This window comes from Homo sapiens, chromosome 14 (genome assembly GCF_000001405.40).
Source record: "Homo sapiens chromosome 14, GRCh38.p14 Primary Assembly".
In the NCBI taxonomy this organism is placed as follows: Eukaryota; Metazoa; Chordata; class Mammalia; order Primates; family Hominidae; genus Homo; species Homo sapiens.
This window is the reverse complement of record NC_000014.9, coordinates 80,552,162-80,568,811: the sequence shown is the minus strand read 5'-3', so window position 1 is coordinate 80,568,811 and position 16,650 is coordinate 80,552,162. Positions and strand designations below refer to the sequence as shown.

Below are 16,650 nucleotides of genomic sequence, written 5' to 3'. Positions count from 1 at the left end.
TTTTTTCCCCTCGTTGTTCTTAGAAAGAAGAGTGTACCAATGATAATCAGAGGGCAGATAATCTGGTTACTTTAAATTGTTTAGCTACATTTCCCTTCTTACCTGCGCGTGTGTGTTGGGAAATGGAGATTAATAATAGTTTTAATCTCAGTCAAACTGAATTAAGAAGCAAGAAAAAGCTACCCCATCTCAGCCATTGTATTAGTTTAAGACTTTCTGCTTCGATGTTGATCATCCTCATCAGCAGCCCCTCTAGTGTAGAATGCTGAGGGGTAACTGAACACAGAAGCACACAGAAAGAATATGAGAGTGACGGGCAAGAAAGAGTCTCCATTACAATGTTCCTTGTGCATTAGTTCCTGTAAATGACTCTGCATGTAAATTATGATGTGGATTACTGGAATTGCCCAAAGGTAAGTCATTAATTCCAAAGGTGGACTATTTACTTGTAGCATTTAATGACTCAGCTGTGTGACATGCATGATAGTTAACAATCCAGTGCTGTAATTTAAAGACTCAGGAGAACACGGCGTGGGAGGAAGGATTCTGTGGTTATATGGGTTTCTCTGTAAACTTTTTCACCTAGAAGCCTAGGAGATATGTGCCCTTCGGGGAAACAAAGGAGATGTCAGCCTCAGGGAGTCTCATTAGACCAACTATATTCAGTGGCAGTCAGATACACAACCCTTTGTGTACCTGAAAATGAAAGCATACCCTCTTATTTTCCACAAGTTCTGCATGACACAAGCCTGCTCATAAATTATGCCATAATCATTCTTGCAATATGATTTGCATAGGAGTTCAGGGCATATGCCATTGATACATGACTAACCTCACGACTGGTGTCGTGTACTTTTTTTTTTTTAAATGTAAATCCTTGAAAAATATATGGTGTGCTGGTTTCTGAGTTGTTGGCCTTCTCCTGGTACTCCTCAATTCCTCTTTCTCCATCTCTTTGTGGGGACAGTCAGCATCTGAAATTGCACTGGTTGTCCTTTGCATTGCCCCTAGCCACCATCATAGTCTTTATTTTATCTGCAAATAATCTTTAGTTGTTCTCCAGTCCAGATGTCACTCACCTTTGTTACCTGTTACGAGCAGTTTCACTGGAGAATTTGACAGTCCCTGGAGAAAGATAATTCTGTCTCTTGCCCTTCATTTTGTCTGTAGTGATATTCTGTAGCACACACCTATGTACCACATTACGTTGTGCTTTAAAGGAAGAATCTTGAAATGATTATTTTAAAGGAAAATAAGGAAAAGAAAGCTCATAGCTTTGCTTCGTGATTTGAAATTTAAAGGGTAGTCTCAGAATTTTTGGTGTCAGTTTCATATAGCTACCTAGAAGTATGTATAGGGATTTTAAATAAAACCCTACCTTGCCGCTCAGGCTGCATTTTCCAGTCTGAAATCTGTCCCAACAAACCAATAGACCCCCATTTCTGTATCTTTCTCTTCATCTTCTTTGTTTTCCCCACTTGTATTCTTCACCCCACAAACCCGTACACATACCCCACTTCAATATAAATACAACCGCAGCCTTTCCTGAACAATGTCAAAACTGAAGTATAATGGTCAATAATCTCCTCATAATAAAACCACAAACTAAAACACCCACCAGAGAACACAGCAGAAGAAAGCTACAGAAGAACAACTGGCTGCCCTCAGGTCTCTGTCAAGGCAATAGTAGTAAATGACAGAACATATTGGAAATGTGGATCAACCACCTTGAGTCTGTTTTTAAATCCTGTGATTGTTTCTGCTTCTGGTTCTATCAGAGATTTGCCACACCCAGGTTGAAAATCAGGCAACAAGGACCATTATTGGGCTTCCCTGTAGGCTAGAACATGACATATCACTTTAAATTGGCTTTTCTTCCTAAGTCAAAATGTTGGTTTTTTTTTTTTTCCTTGACAACTTTTCAGACAAAATCTTTAAGCCTCGCTGTTTTTTTTTTCTTCAATATGTGTGTTGTGTTATTTTAGACGCTGAAGTAGGTTGTTTGAAAAGGCACATAAGCAGCCAGTGAAATGAATGAACAGAAATTGACTACAGGTATCTAATGATGGTTACAGTGAACACAGGATGATTGGGAAACCAGTGCAAGCTGCTCCAATGCCACCCATCCTGGAGTATTTGATGTATAGACAAACTTCTTTCACTGACTTTTAATAGATAGCATACAATTTTATATATAAATCACAGATGCATTTGGTATATTCAAAGCCAACTTATGCTACATTTTAAAGCTTTTTTTGATGTTGCTACACTGAGATAGTGATTTTTGTCTTGATTTTGTTTGAATTTTTTTTAAATCACTGTAAGAAATGCTGACCTTTTGTGTGTGATGATTAATCAAAGCCTTTCCCTTTTCATTATCTTAAAGTTTGGCAAAGAATACTATTTTAAATGTATTCAAATAATTTCAAATAAAATGACTTCTAGCTCTTTTAATTATTTAAAATGACTGACAAATTTTTAAAACGTAATGGATTGTCATGGGGAAATGCTGAGGAGAAAAAATATATATATTTGTATTTCATTCTATAGGGTTTATTTAGGAAGTAGCAGGTAAACTGTGAGTGTGGATTAAACAGAGTTGACTTTGGAAGGAAGAACGCCATGCAGTGGTCTCTTTGGGTGAAGTTGAGTGGATTTTTCTTCCAGAAGACAGGCTTTGTATTTTACAATAGTGATGGTAGGGAGTCCTCAATGTGGGTTTTTCTTTTTGAAAAGTATATGTCCATCATGGTCCCTAAGTCCCAGAGAAGTTGCCAGAATTATTCTATACTCTTCAAGCTTCTAAGATGTGGAAAAGATAGAAGACTCTTCTTACGTTTTTATGCCAGTGTTATGCTTTTTCATATGCTAATGATATCTTTAAAGCATTCTTGGAAAATGCTGCATTATTATGATAAAATAAAGTCACTAGACTTTTCAACTGTACTCACCAGAGGCAGAAGAATTATTATTATTTAGACCTATAAGTTTCTAATTCATCTCTGAGATGTGATGGATGAATCGATGTGGCTGATTAGCTCAGCTGAATCAAATAAACTTTTAATGATTAGATATTCTGATAACAAATGATCCATTTAATGCTCATTTCCTAACAGCCTACAAATATTTGCTCATCTCCAGTGATACTAATGAATTTGCCTTGGTCCATTCCTAAATTCTAAAGTACACTTCATTGTGGTAGCAAATGAATATGTACAGCTTAAGGCTAGTTACAAACTGTATCCACCCAATGGGTTCACCTTGCCAGCTGCTTAGATAGAGCCTATTTATCAAGACAGGGGAATTGTGATGGTGAAAGAGTAATTCACGCAGAGCTGGCTCTGCAGGAGACTGGAGTTTTATTACTCAAATCAGTCTCCCCAAGCATTCGGGGACCAGAGTTTTTAAAGATAATTTGGCAAGCAGGCGCTTGCCAAATTACCTTTAAAATCTTGGGAAGTGGGGAGTGCGGATTGGTCAGGTTGGAGATGGAATCATAGGGGGTTAAAGTTAGGTTATCTTAACGTCTTCTGTTTTTGGGTGGGATGGCAGAACTGGTTGGGCCAGATTACTGGTGTGGGTAGTGTCAGCTGATCCATCCAGTGCAGGGTCTGCAAACTATCTCAAGCACTGATCTTAGGTTTTGCAATAATGATGTTATCACCAGGAGCAATTTGGGGAGGTTCAGACTCTGGAAGCCAGAGGCTGCATGACCTCTAAATTGTAATTTCCTTTCTCTTTTCTTTTTTTTTGAGACGGAGTTTCACTCCTTTTGCCCAGGCTGGAGTGCAATGGTGTGATCTCGACTCACTGCAACCTCCACCTCCTGGGTTCAAGGGATTCTCCTGCCTCAGCCTCCCTAGTAGCTGGGATTACAGGTGCCTGCCACCACGCCTGACTAATTTGTGTATTTTTAGTAGGGACAGGGTTTCGCCATGTTAGCCAGGCTCGTCTCAGACTCCTGATCTCAGGTGATCCACCCACCTCAGCCTCCCAAAGTGCTGGAATTACAGGCGTGAGCCACTGCGCCTGCCCTAAATTTCTAATCTTGTAGCTAATTTGTTAGTCCTGCAAAGGCAGACTGGACCCCAGGCAAGAAGCAGGTCTTTTTGGGAAAGGGCGGTTATCAATTTTGTTTCAGAGTCAAACCATGAACTGAATTCCTTCCCAAAGTTAGTTCAGCCTACACCCAGGAGTGAACAAGGACAGCTTCAGGGTTAGAAAAAAGCAAGATAGAGTCAATTAGGTTTAATTTCTGTCACTGTCATAATTTCCTCAGTTATAATTTTGCAAAGGCAGTTTCAAAACCTCATTAACCTCAAAAGTTAAAATACATCTTTTTATTGTATACATGCTTTAGGCTTCCCCCAAAATAATTTGTATATTGAGGGAATCCTATATCATATGGCTTCTCCTTACCTGATCTGTCAAACCCAGAACAAATTAAAACATGATGTCTAGCCACATTATTTTTACTTAGAAAGTGTAATATTCACTTATTGGTAAGAACAGCTATTAGCACTGCTCCATTGTAATCCAATATCTATGCAGTGACTACATGTACAGTCATTAAGAGTAAACATTTTTAAAAATATTTATGTCAATTTAGGTGTTTCATAAACTTTCCCTTTCTTAGAACTAAAGAATAATAGAAAAGGGACTATCCAATCACATATAAACAGTAGCAACAAAACAGGCTTTTTCCCAGAAAACTCTTTTCTTCCAAGTATTTGAAGAAAAATTTTCCTTTGTTTTTTGTTTAACCCTTCACTCCCACTTAGAATTTTACATTTTTACTTCTGCCCTATAAGAGCCCTTAGTTATAGTCATAATTGTTTATTTCTTTGTTACTGAGGTTATGTATCTAGACATGTTTCATAAAGAGGAAATAAATACATTTAGTGTAATACAATAATTTATTTTTATGATATTCTTATGTCTTATTTTAGGTGTTTTTATTTGGAGTAAAAAGACTTGGGCTGGGCACAGTGACTCACGCCTGTAATCCCAGCACTTTGGGAGGCCGAGGCAGGCGGATCACGAGGTCAGGAGATCAAGACCATCTTTGCTAACACAGTGAAACCCTGTCTCTACTAAAAATACAAAAAAATTAGCTGGGTGTGGTGGCACGCGCCTTGTAGTCCCAGCTACTCGGGAGCCTGAGACAGGAGAATCACTTAAATCCAAGAGGTGGAGGTTGCAGTGAGCCGAGATTGTGCCACTGCACTCCAGCCTGGGCGACAAGAGTGAGATTCCATCTCAAAAAAAAAAAAAAAAAAAAAAAAAAGATTTGGAGGCCCATGGGTAGGCTTCAGAGAGTCTGCATTACCCCAAAAAGTATATATAAAATTACATATGTGTGTTGCATATAATGTACATTTTCCTAGGGAGAATGTCAAGTTTTATTAGACTCTCAAAGTCTATTACCACAAAAATAAGAGCCACTGATTTATTAAAACCATCTGAAATAGCATGGAAGTATCTTCATTACTTCCTGGGAGTGGTCTTCCCTTGTCTACTTCTCCTACCTCCTAATGCCCTTTCATTGTTCTAGCAATGCTTACTTTTCTTTTCAGGATTAAGCCCTGCGAGTGTGTTGAGAGTGGGGTTCAGGGATTGGTGGTTTGGAAGGGTGGGTGGAGTAATGAACCTGCAGGTTGAACTTAAATCTGTTTAAATGAAAATTATAGATTAAAGAAAAAGGGAAAAATTACAAAGGCAGCTCTGGGTAAACTGGGAGAGGTTATGGAGATATAATTTATTTTGTTGTAATTATATGTTCATTCTAGGACATATACTGGCTTTTTCTTTTTTAATCATGAAGCATATCAAAGCTTTGACAGTATTGGCCCACGTGTGGTGGTTCATGCCTGTAATCCCAGCATTTGGGGAGGCCGAGGCAGGAGGATTGCTTGAGCCCAGGAGTACAAGACCACCCTGGGTAACATAGTGAGATCCCATCTCTACAAAAAGTAAAAAAAAAATTAGCTGGGTGTGGTGGTGCACACCTATACTCCCGGTTACTTGGGATGCTGAGGTGGGAAGATCAATTGAGCATGGAAGGTATAGGCTGCAGTAAGCTCTGATTGTGACAGTGCACTCTAGCCTGAATGATAGAGGGAGACCCTGTCTCCAAAAAAAAAAAAAAAAAAAAAAGAAAAGAAAAGCTACACTGTTGTTGGCTTATTTTCCATTGAGAATAATGATACACAGTAGCATAATTTTTTATATAAAGATATATAACTAACTTTGTTTACCAAAAACAGTGTCAACCATAACCACTTAAGTTTTCAAAATGCATTTCTTAAATTTTAAAATCAAATAAGAAGTTCATGAAGACTAGTAATTTCTCTTTATTTACAGCCTACAATTGAGACAGAAAACTATAATTTAGACAAAATCAGTAATTGACTACAATGGCTGGTATCTTATTAGCTATTGTTGATTGGCATATTGAATTACTGAAAGGTTAATGAACTAAATTTTCTGTTTCTCTAATTTCCTCATGTTTTTTGACATACAGTTTTTTTATTGAAAGCTGTCTCAGTACCATTTTGGAATAGAGTAGGTTATAGGCAAACAAACATAACTAAAGTGGATTCAAATATATTTATTTATTGCACTTTGGGAGGCTGAGACGGGTGGATCACGAGGTCAGGAGATCGAGACCATCCTGGCTAACATGGTGAAACCCCGTCTCTACTAAAAATAAAAAAATTAGCCGGATGTGGTGGCGGGCACCTGTAGTTCCAGCTACTTGGGAGGCTGAGGCAGGAGAATGGCGTGAACTTGGGAGGCGGAGCTTGCAGTGAGTTGAGATCATGCCACTGCACTCCAGCCTGGGCGACAGAGTGAGACTCTGTCCCAAAAAAACAAAAACAAAAACAAAACAAAACAAATATATATATATATATAGACCTTCGTATTTCAACAAAATGGAGTTGTCTTGACCATTTGAGTCAATAGTCACATAAACTAGGCACATATTTCCTTTAAAATAAAAAATTAAGTAAAATGAAGGTACTCATACACAACTTATAATGCTATCAGTTTATCTCTGCTAAACACTAAGATATGAATTAGGACAGACAGTTTAATTCTGTTCTGTTTTGACATTATATGAAATCGCCTATTTCAAGTCAGTTCTAGGTATGCTTTTAAAATACGTTAATCTTAACTAATAGCAACCCTCAAACCCATGGTATAGGGAAAACTTAAGGCCCAAATAGGGCTGTAAATATTTTCAGTCTTCCAAGATGGTTCATATAAATATGATACTGCCCAAAGGCTGTTTCTCTCTGTATAAGGCATCTAATGACGTTCTGTTCAATCTGCAAAGGATATTAAAGTATTGCTGAATGGTTTTTGTCCCAGATGCACAATGAATTAGATGCCTGGCAACAATAGATCAAAGCCCCCTTGAGGCATCATACGCATTTATTATGAAGTGCTCAAATGTGACAATATACAAGTCACCAACAACATAGCAGTTATTTTATGAAAATTATGAGGGTAAGGGTGAGGCCCTCTTAACTATGCCAACAAAATGCAATTAAACAGATTATATTGCTAGAAACAGTCTGCTTTGGGCTAATTTTGCATAATGTATTCATTTAACTCATGCCCACATAGCCAAATGTTTACAGGGTGGAAATGTGCAACTGTTTCCCAGTCTGACTGCTGGAAGTTAGTTTGCAGAAGTCTTTATAAGTGAGCCCTCTATTTCATGTGATACTGAGAGAATGCCAGTAGGGGCCAAGTTCATTCTGCTTCTAAGTGTCATAGGTCTATGTGGGTCCCTGCAGGACCACAGGAGACCTGGGCTGAGTCATTCTGTGCGCCATTTTTCTCTCTTTACTTCTTGTATTAGTCAGGGTTCTCTTAGAGGGACAGAATTAGTAGGAGATATATATATATATAAAGGGTAGTTATTCAGTATTAACTTGCACGATCACAAGGTCCCACAATAGGCTGTCTGCAAGCTGAGGAGCAAGGAGAGCCAGTCCAAGCCCCAAAACTGAAGAACGTGGCGTACAGTGTTCAACGGCAGGAAGCATCCAGCACGGGAGAAAGATGTAGGCTGGGAGGCTAGGCCAGTCTCCCCTTTCACATTTCTCTGCCTGCTTTATATTCACTGGCAGCTGATTAGATTGTGCCCACCAGATTAACGGTGGGTCTGCCTTCCTCAGCCCACTGACTAAAATGCTAATCTCCTTTGGTAACACCCCACAGACACACCCAGGATCAACACCCTGCATCCGTGTATACAGTCAAGTTGACACTCAGTGTTTACCTTTACACTTCTTTAGACGATTAATTAATTTTATTTTTAAAAATCCAGATTCCACATATTTCCTCTAGTTCTTTTATTTTATTTTTATTTTTTTGAGGTGTAGTCTTGCTCTGTTGCCCAGGCTGGAGTGCAGTGGCTTGATCTCAGTTCACTGCAACCTCTGATTCCTGGGTTCAAGTGATTCTCCTGTCTCAGCCTCCTGAGTAGGTGGGATTACAGGCACGCGGCACCGCACCTGGCTACTTTTTAATTTTTAGTAGAGACAGTGTTTTGCCAGGTTGGCCAGGCTGGTCTCGAACTCCTGGCCTCATGTGATCTGTCCACCTGAGCCTCCCAAAGTGCTGGGATTACAGGTGTGAGGCATTGCACCTGACCTCCTCCAGTTCTTAAAATAAGAGAAAACAAAGGCAAATGGCCTTGGTCCACCTCAAAAAGGATGGTTTTTCATTTTCTTAGATCTTCACACTCTGCTTTGTCTCAGAGTCAGTCTTTATTTGGTGAAGACTTCCTGTTTATAGATGTCACCTCTGGAAAGACTTGAGAATACAACTATGGAGTTGAGAATACAAACATTTTCTTAATCATTTAGCTTTTGATGCATCGTTATCAATGACCCCTTTTAAAGCCAGTCCTTCTATAAACATTCTAAGATGCTGTAGACAATGAAGGCCTATCTGGGCTCAGGATTGGCTGCATGTGCCATATCTTTCTCATTTATTTTCCTGCCTTGTTTTCAATAATGATTTACTCATTTATTTTAATTGATGAAGATATGTCTGAATTTCAGCTTGTTGTGGAGACCACATTTTTCGCTGTAAACCTAATTAAGAGCTAGAATATGTGCTTAATTCCTTGTCTATATCACTACTCTTGTCTAGTTGTGATTCATATAATCAAATCTAACATTTTACATCTTATAAATAATCTTACCATTACAAAAATGGTAGGTTCTATTCCTTTCATTAACTGTACTAGAATTGTAGCATTTACTCTTAAACTCTGTAGTCCTAGCACTAAATGAGATGAAAAAAGATACATTCATTCTTTGATGACTATTTTTCTGTTCTAGAGATCATTCTGAATAGTTCTCATTTTTTACATTTTTAAAATGAATTATTAATAATAGATGGTAAATAGAATACTTGTAAATTAAGTAAACTTGAAACAATTTTAAACAGCCTTCGTTTTATAATTATATATTATGCTTTCTTTGCAGGACCGTGTAATTGCATTAGAAACGGTAAGTTGGGGCATTTTCTTTCTCCTTTTATCAGAATTACTGCTGTCTCCTGATGTGGATTTCACAGCACACCAAAGGAAACAGTTTCAGAAATCATTTCGAAAACTACATCTAAGATGTCAAAGGGGAAAACAAGCTAAACTGTATCTAAAAGGTATGTGGATATAGACTTTAAAATGAAAAAAAATTAAATAAAAATGTGAGCATACTTAAGTGGTCACATCTCTCAGTATTTCTGATGTCAAGATGTACTAATTTATGAAAAATATATTAAATATAGTCAATACTTGGTGTTTCTACTGTATTTCACAATCACTAAGAGGATTGGTTGATAAGAAACTGAGATCAGTTTGCTATTTATTCTTTCAAGTCTAAGATTTTAACATTCATTGTTTTTATAAACATTATTTTCACCAGTGTCACAAAAAGAATAATGCAAGCATGCCAGCTTTTTCTGAATAATCTTACTTGTAGGAATGTGCTATTAAGAAATAATTTTTCAAGTTCATAGATGTCAAGACTACATGCATACAATATTCATTGAAAAATTATTTTTGGCCAGGCGCAGTAGCTCACGCCCATAATCCCAGCACTCTGGGAGGCCGAGGCAGGTGGATCATTTGAGGTCAGGAGTTCGAGACCAGCCTGGCCAACGTGGTAAAACCCCGTCTCTACTAAAAATACAAAAATTGGCCAGGCGCGGTGGCTCACGCCCGTAATCCCAGCACTTTGGGAGGCCGAGGCGGGTGGATCACAAGGTCAGGAGATCGAGACCATCCTGGCTAACATGGTAAAACCCCGTCTTTACTAAAAATTAAAAAAATTAGCCGGGTGTGGTGGTGAGAGCCTGTAATCTCAGCTACTCGGGAGGCTGAAGCAGGAGAATTGCTTGAACCTGGGAGGCAGAGGTTGCCGTGAGCCGAGATCATGCCACTGCACTCCAGTGCAACAGTGCAAGACTCTGTCTCAAAAAAAAAAAGTAAAGGAAAACCAACTTACTGTCAATAAAATTATGGTTTTATAGAGTATGGAATTTTCACCCAACATGCCACAGTGGTTATACAAAGGCTTATAATATTAAATGGAAAAATTTCAAGATATAAAATGGTGTGTACTTTAATGATGACATATAGGCATATAAAAAAAGAACAGAAGAGAGTAAGCAAAACTCACAACAGTGATCAGTTACATAAGAATTATAGATTTTAATTTTATTTCTTTCTGTTTTTCAAGTATTTGATGAAATACTATGCAACCATAAACAGTCAGGTTTTCAAAAAAGTAAATATTGCCGTGCTAATATATGAAAAAGTGATATATAAAGATATATAAAGAGTGATAAAAATATTAAATGTGCATATTTTACATTTAAAAAGGCTAAGAAAATACATAAAATATTAGAAGTATCTTAGTCGTAGTGATTTTTTTTTCTTTTTATATTTTTAACAAGCAGGAAAAAAATCTTTAGATAATAAGGTTAATAAAAAATGAAATGTTTATTTGTGAGTATGAAGAGAGGAAAGATGGTTACAGACCACATTTTAGTAATATGCAAGCAAGTGATTTTGATTGACGATGTCCAGACCCTATGGATAAATAACTTCTTCCTGAGATTTCACTGGGCCATTTAGAAAGTACACTATTCTCAGTTTCAGTATGATGACATTGTTGGTGAATAAAATGTTTAGTGTTCTTCCACATATATTTTACTTACCCTTAGAAAGTGTCTTGCCAACAGAATTTGGCCTGTGAATTAAATGCTTTTTTAAAAAATCTGGACAAAAACGTAATTTTTGAGTTTGAAGACCTGGATTTGGTGTACAAAATGCCGCTTATGCAACATTTAGCAAATGACTTCTTTCTTGTTTCCTTCATCTGTAAAATGGTTGTGATTAAAATTATTTTATCATTTTTCTCTAAGAATTAAGAGAGAAAATACACGTGAAAATATTTAGGACCAAACAAATGTTATCGTTACCACGATTGCTTGTTACTTCTTATTTAATCATTTGAATTCTACCTATATACTATGCAAAACTGAAAATTATATCAGCAACAATGATTATTTGTATTTGTTAATTGTTTTTATCTAATCTCTTCACTAACGAAGTACAGAGGAATAGAATCACAAATGTCCTAACCTAAAGGTTCCCGTAAGAATAAAGGTAAAAATAAAAAGTCACCATGGGAAAAATAAAATTGATTAAAGGACTAGATTTTAAACAGCAGTAGTTTTTTGATAGTTTCAATTTGAAATGATTATAAATAAAACCATAAAAATTAAAATGCTCAGTAATAGTGCTAACGATCAAATATTATGAAGTCCTTTGATTTCATATGACATTTTAAGGGACAGATTTTAATGAACTTGGTAGACTCTTCAACTGATAAAGTACTTTATAGTTCATAAAATCAAATATGCTGAAAGCTATCTCAAGATCATTTATTATTCTCTCCCAAGTCAGTGCTTAAAACTTAGAAAAATGTTGTTGGTCCATATTTGGTTGAGTTGTTATTAACAGTACAGAAGGTGTTGCATGTAGAGCATATATCATGGTGCTATCAATATGCAAATGTTTGAAATTTCACCATTCCATTAGGAGTATTTACAGTAGATTGATTTTAGCAGTGCAGTAGTTATAATACCTGAAAAGAAGATCACCTTTTCATCATAATAAGAAACTTGGTTTAGCTTGCCACCAATTATCTATCTGCTTAGGTCACAGTCACATGCCCATTTTTCCCCGTCTTCCTCAACTTTTCCCTCTCTTTCTTTAATAGCAGGTAAGCTCCTTGGATTAGAAACTGCATTTTATTTGCAAATGCGTTGCCAGGGTCTGTCAGAAATGTTTGATATATAGTAGACAATCAATAAACATTTGTAGAATGAAAGAATGACTGTTAAACTGCATGTATCTCAACCTCACATAAGACTGTGCTCAGGAATAAATAGCATTAGTCCAGTAGTTGTGAGAAATTCCCCAGAAGCACGGCAATGTATTCTTTATTTCCTAGAATTCCTGGTCAGTGCTATATGCTATTTGGTGTTTCACAGAAGCTCTAACCATCTTCACTAAATGTTAATGTAAATTTTCCTGGGATGGAACCACCTTCAGCCAAAATAGAATGGGTTGATTCCCTAAATAAAGCTAAGTGATTACATGGGAAAAAACTTTGATTGAGAGCCCCTGCTCATGGGCCAAGGATGGGACTCAGCAGTGGAAATTTATTGGGCTCAATATGAGGCATTGTGTTGACACCAAGGAAGAAAAAAGGAAAGTAAATTGTGATCAATGCCTTCAAGGAATTTGTACTCTATTTGAGTAAAGAAGACACATTCATTTAAATGAATTAAATGATGAAAGATAAAAACCAAAAAAATACAGTCCATGAATGAAAAAGATAATGCATTTTCAGAAGCTATTTTGAAGAAAAGATCATTGTAAAGAGAATTGAGGCATCATTGCATCATTGTGATCTGGGTTCATTGTGAAAATGATAGATTTTGCAGTTTGAGGACATGAAGAGGAGCTTAAATTTATTTCTGAAATATGAAGAATCAGTAGTGAGATAGAAAGAGCCCCAGAAGCCCTTTCATATTGGAGATGTTATCGAAGTCTAAGGCAGTAATGAACAAAAGGGTTTGTTAAAAGGATTTTTTAAGGTAAAATCATGACTCCCGTACACATATAAAATTAACTTGTGACAAATGTGTTTATTTAACTCATTAATTAATGAGGGAATGAACAAGAAGTTACAAATGACTTAAAGGAGTGTTTAAAGAACCACACATATATAGGCACTACAGAGTGCTGAAATGTATTTTAAATAAAGGCAAAATTGGCTTCTTCTACAATGAGGAAGGAAGATCAGTGGAACCCTACCAGACAAAATTTATTGTCTGTGAACAAAAATTATTTGCATTTTTGTTATCAGTTGTCTGCAACTCATAAAGTTATAAAAACTGAAAGACAATAAGAGCACAGAGATCCCACAGAATCAGGAAGCCCAGACAGATGTGCTAGGCAAAAACTAGGCCTTCATTGAAGATACCTAGTAAGTTTTTGTTCCATTTCAAAGCCTTTTCACATTTTTTTCCCCTGTCGGTTCATAGGAGATAATGTATAGAGAGATAGATAACAGTTTGAGAGAGTAAGAGGAGTCATTCTGACGTTCTGAAATACAAACCAAGCAGTTTAGACTTGATTTTTTTATATCAGGGTTTTATATGTTTTACATCAGGGATCTTTTATATCAGGATCTAAATAGGTCCTTCCCAAATGTTAGTTCATACTGGTCAGTACTAGTTACTGAAACATTCTGTTGGGAAGGATTTTTTTCTGGTGGCTCTTTCGGAAAGAGCAAAATCAAGGGATAAAAATTAATGAGCTTATCACCCAACATAAGATATTAAAAGGAAATTAAAAGAGTAAAACCTAAAGAAAACAAAAGAAGGGAAAAATAAAGACTGAAAATTAATGAAATAGAAAAAAACATGCAATAGGGCTAACAAAGTAAAGTCTGTTATTTGACCAACGAATCATAATAAAAAAGACCATTGTCCATTATGATTGAAAAAAAGGATATAGCTACAGGTCTTGGAGAATTTAACCACATAACAAAGTGTTCTGAATAATTTTCTAATTATAAATTAGAAGAAATAAACAAATTCCTAGAAAAATATAATTTTCAAAAACTAAGAAGAAATAGCATGACTAAATTTTAAATAAATAATTTTAATCAACTATTTTTAGTCAATTGAAATTTAATCAGAAAAGGGCTACCAAGCCCAAATAATTTTATACATAAGTTCTACCGAATGTTCTAGGGGCAGATAATTTCAGTTTTATAAAACTCTTCCAGAGACTAGATAAAGAGGGAACATGCCCATTTTATATCCTGAGTCAGCATAGCGTTTATGCTAAAACCAAGCATAAGAGTAAGTAAGGGAATTTAGACCCTTAGTCATTAACATGAATGCAAAAATATATACAAAAGATTAGCAAAGTAAATTTAGGAATGTTTAAAAAGAATAATTCATCATGAACAAGTTGAGTTTGTTCCAGCAGTTCAGTTAAGTTAAACAAGTTGGTTTAACATTAGAAAATTAATCAATGTAATTTATAGCATAGTGACAGATTAGAGAGAAATAAAATTTGAAAAGGCCATCCCCATAAATGAATAAGAAGCATTGATTCCACCACCACCACCATCATCATCATAAACCTTCTATTAAACTAAGAATAGAGGGAAACTTTCTTAATCTGATAAAGGTCATATGGAAAAATTCTATGGGTAAATCACCTTAGCACTGAAATGCTGACGTCCTCCTCTATGACCAGGAACAAAGGATGTGCTATTCCACAACTTCTGTTAGACACTGTGCAGAAGGGCCTAGCCAGTGCAGTAAAATTGATATTTGCAAATACTGTTCTTGTTTATATAAAATGCCCAAGGAATTCATAGTTAAATTATGAAAAAATACAGAGTTTAGCAATTTCTTTGATAAAAAACAGGATATTTTACTTCTACCTCCAAGCAACAATTACTGAGAAAATGTAATTAAAACTATACCCATGCAAAAGTAACAAAAAATTCAAAGTACATAAGAGAAAAAACTTTAAAAAGAATTACAAGTGCTTTATAGAGAAGACACTCTAGCCAAGAAACTTCTGAAGAAGAACAAGGTAAGGGGAGTTTTCTTAAACATGTATCAAAATGTATTAAAGCTATGGAAATTAAAATGGTGTTGTCTTGGCAAAGGAATATATAAGTCGGTCAGTGTAATCAAATAGAGAACCCAGAAACGGAAATACGTACATATGAAAACTTGATGTTTGACACAAATGGCATCACATACCAGTGGAGTAAGGATGAACTTTTCCATAGATGGTATTAAAAATATTAAACTGAACCTCTGTCTCATATCAGATGCAAAAATGTATTGTTCTCACTCATAAGTGGGAGTTGAACATGAGAACACATGGACACAGGGAGCGAACATCACACACTAGGGCATGTCGGTTGGGGGTAAGGGAGGGAGAGCATTAGGACAAATATCTAATGCATGTGGGGCTTAAAACCTAAATGACAGATTGGTGGGTGCAGCAAACCACCACAGCACATGTGTACCTATGTAACAAATCTGCACATTCTGCACATGTATCCCAGACCTTAAAGTATAATTAAAAAAAAGAAAGAAAGAAAGAAAGAAAACCGAAATGTGAATGGTAAACCGTAAGATTTTTAGAACAAAAAAATTGTTGAGTATTTTCATAACCCTGGAACCGAAGGAGATTTCTGAAGAGAAAAAAAAGGCAAACAAGGCATTGGAATAATGGATCATATAAAAGAAGTGACTCAAGTTACCATGTTAAAATTAAGAACTTCTGTAAACCAAATAAAAATACAACATAAAAAGAGTGAAAAGAAAAGCCACACATAGGATATATTTGTAGCAGATATAACTGACTACCAATTTGTGTCCAAATCTTATTGCCTAAAAAGCAATTAGAAAAAGGTATCCAAGCTTTTAAAAGGGACAAAAGAAGGGCAAAGTGCATAAGCAAGCATCTCTATTGAAAAAGAAACATGTGAGAAGACATTTTTCATCAGCAATCAGGGAGGCACTAATTAAAACCACAGATTGTCATTTTCTTTAAACTGTATGTATATATTTTACTTAAAATTTTGTATCAATGACATATTTCACCAAAAAAAATTAAAAAACTAAAGGGAATTGAAACATGTTAGTAGAACGTTTTAAAAGCTTTTTACTGCAAAATGATTAATCCTGACCCCAACAGTAATGTTCAAAGAGAGCTGGTAAATTACAGCATGTTCTAACTAGGGTAGCATGCCCCTGGGAGTATACAAAGATCTTCCAAGAGGTAGTCAGGCACAAATAGTTTTAAGAGAATTGGTTTATATTTTTGTTTTGTTTTGTTTTTATTTGTGTTTTTTTTTTTTGAGATGGAGTTTCACTCTGTCACCCAGGCTGGAGGTGCAGTAGCGCCATCTCAGCTCACTGCAACCTCCATCTCCCGCATTCAAGCAATTCTCTTGCCTCAGCCTCCCAAGTAGCTGGGATTACAGGTGCCCACCACCATGCCCAGCT

The 16,650-nt window shown here is 36.2% G+C and overlaps 1 protein-coding gene across 15 annotated transcripts in view; it reads left to right on the top strand.

Annotated features, from left to right (window-relative positions):
* Nucleotides 1-16,650, top strand: part of CEP128 (centrosomal protein 128) — a 482,534-nt gene that overhangs the window by 390,691 nt on the left and 75,193 nt on the right. For 13 of the 15 annotated variants that reach the window (NR_157142.2, XM_047431023.1, XM_011536493.3 and 10 more), the window contains one exon: nt 9,510-9,533. Coding sequence is in view for 14 of the 15 variants with exons in the window: in XM_047431023.1 (XP_047286979.1) it covers nt 9,510-9,533 (24 nt within the window). In the remaining variant the exon portion in view is untranslated. Of the gene's footprint in view, nt 1-9,509; nt 9,688-16,650 lie in introns of all 15 variants that reach the window. The other 2 variants (XM_047431026.1, XM_047431025.1) reach the window with 1 other exon arrangement.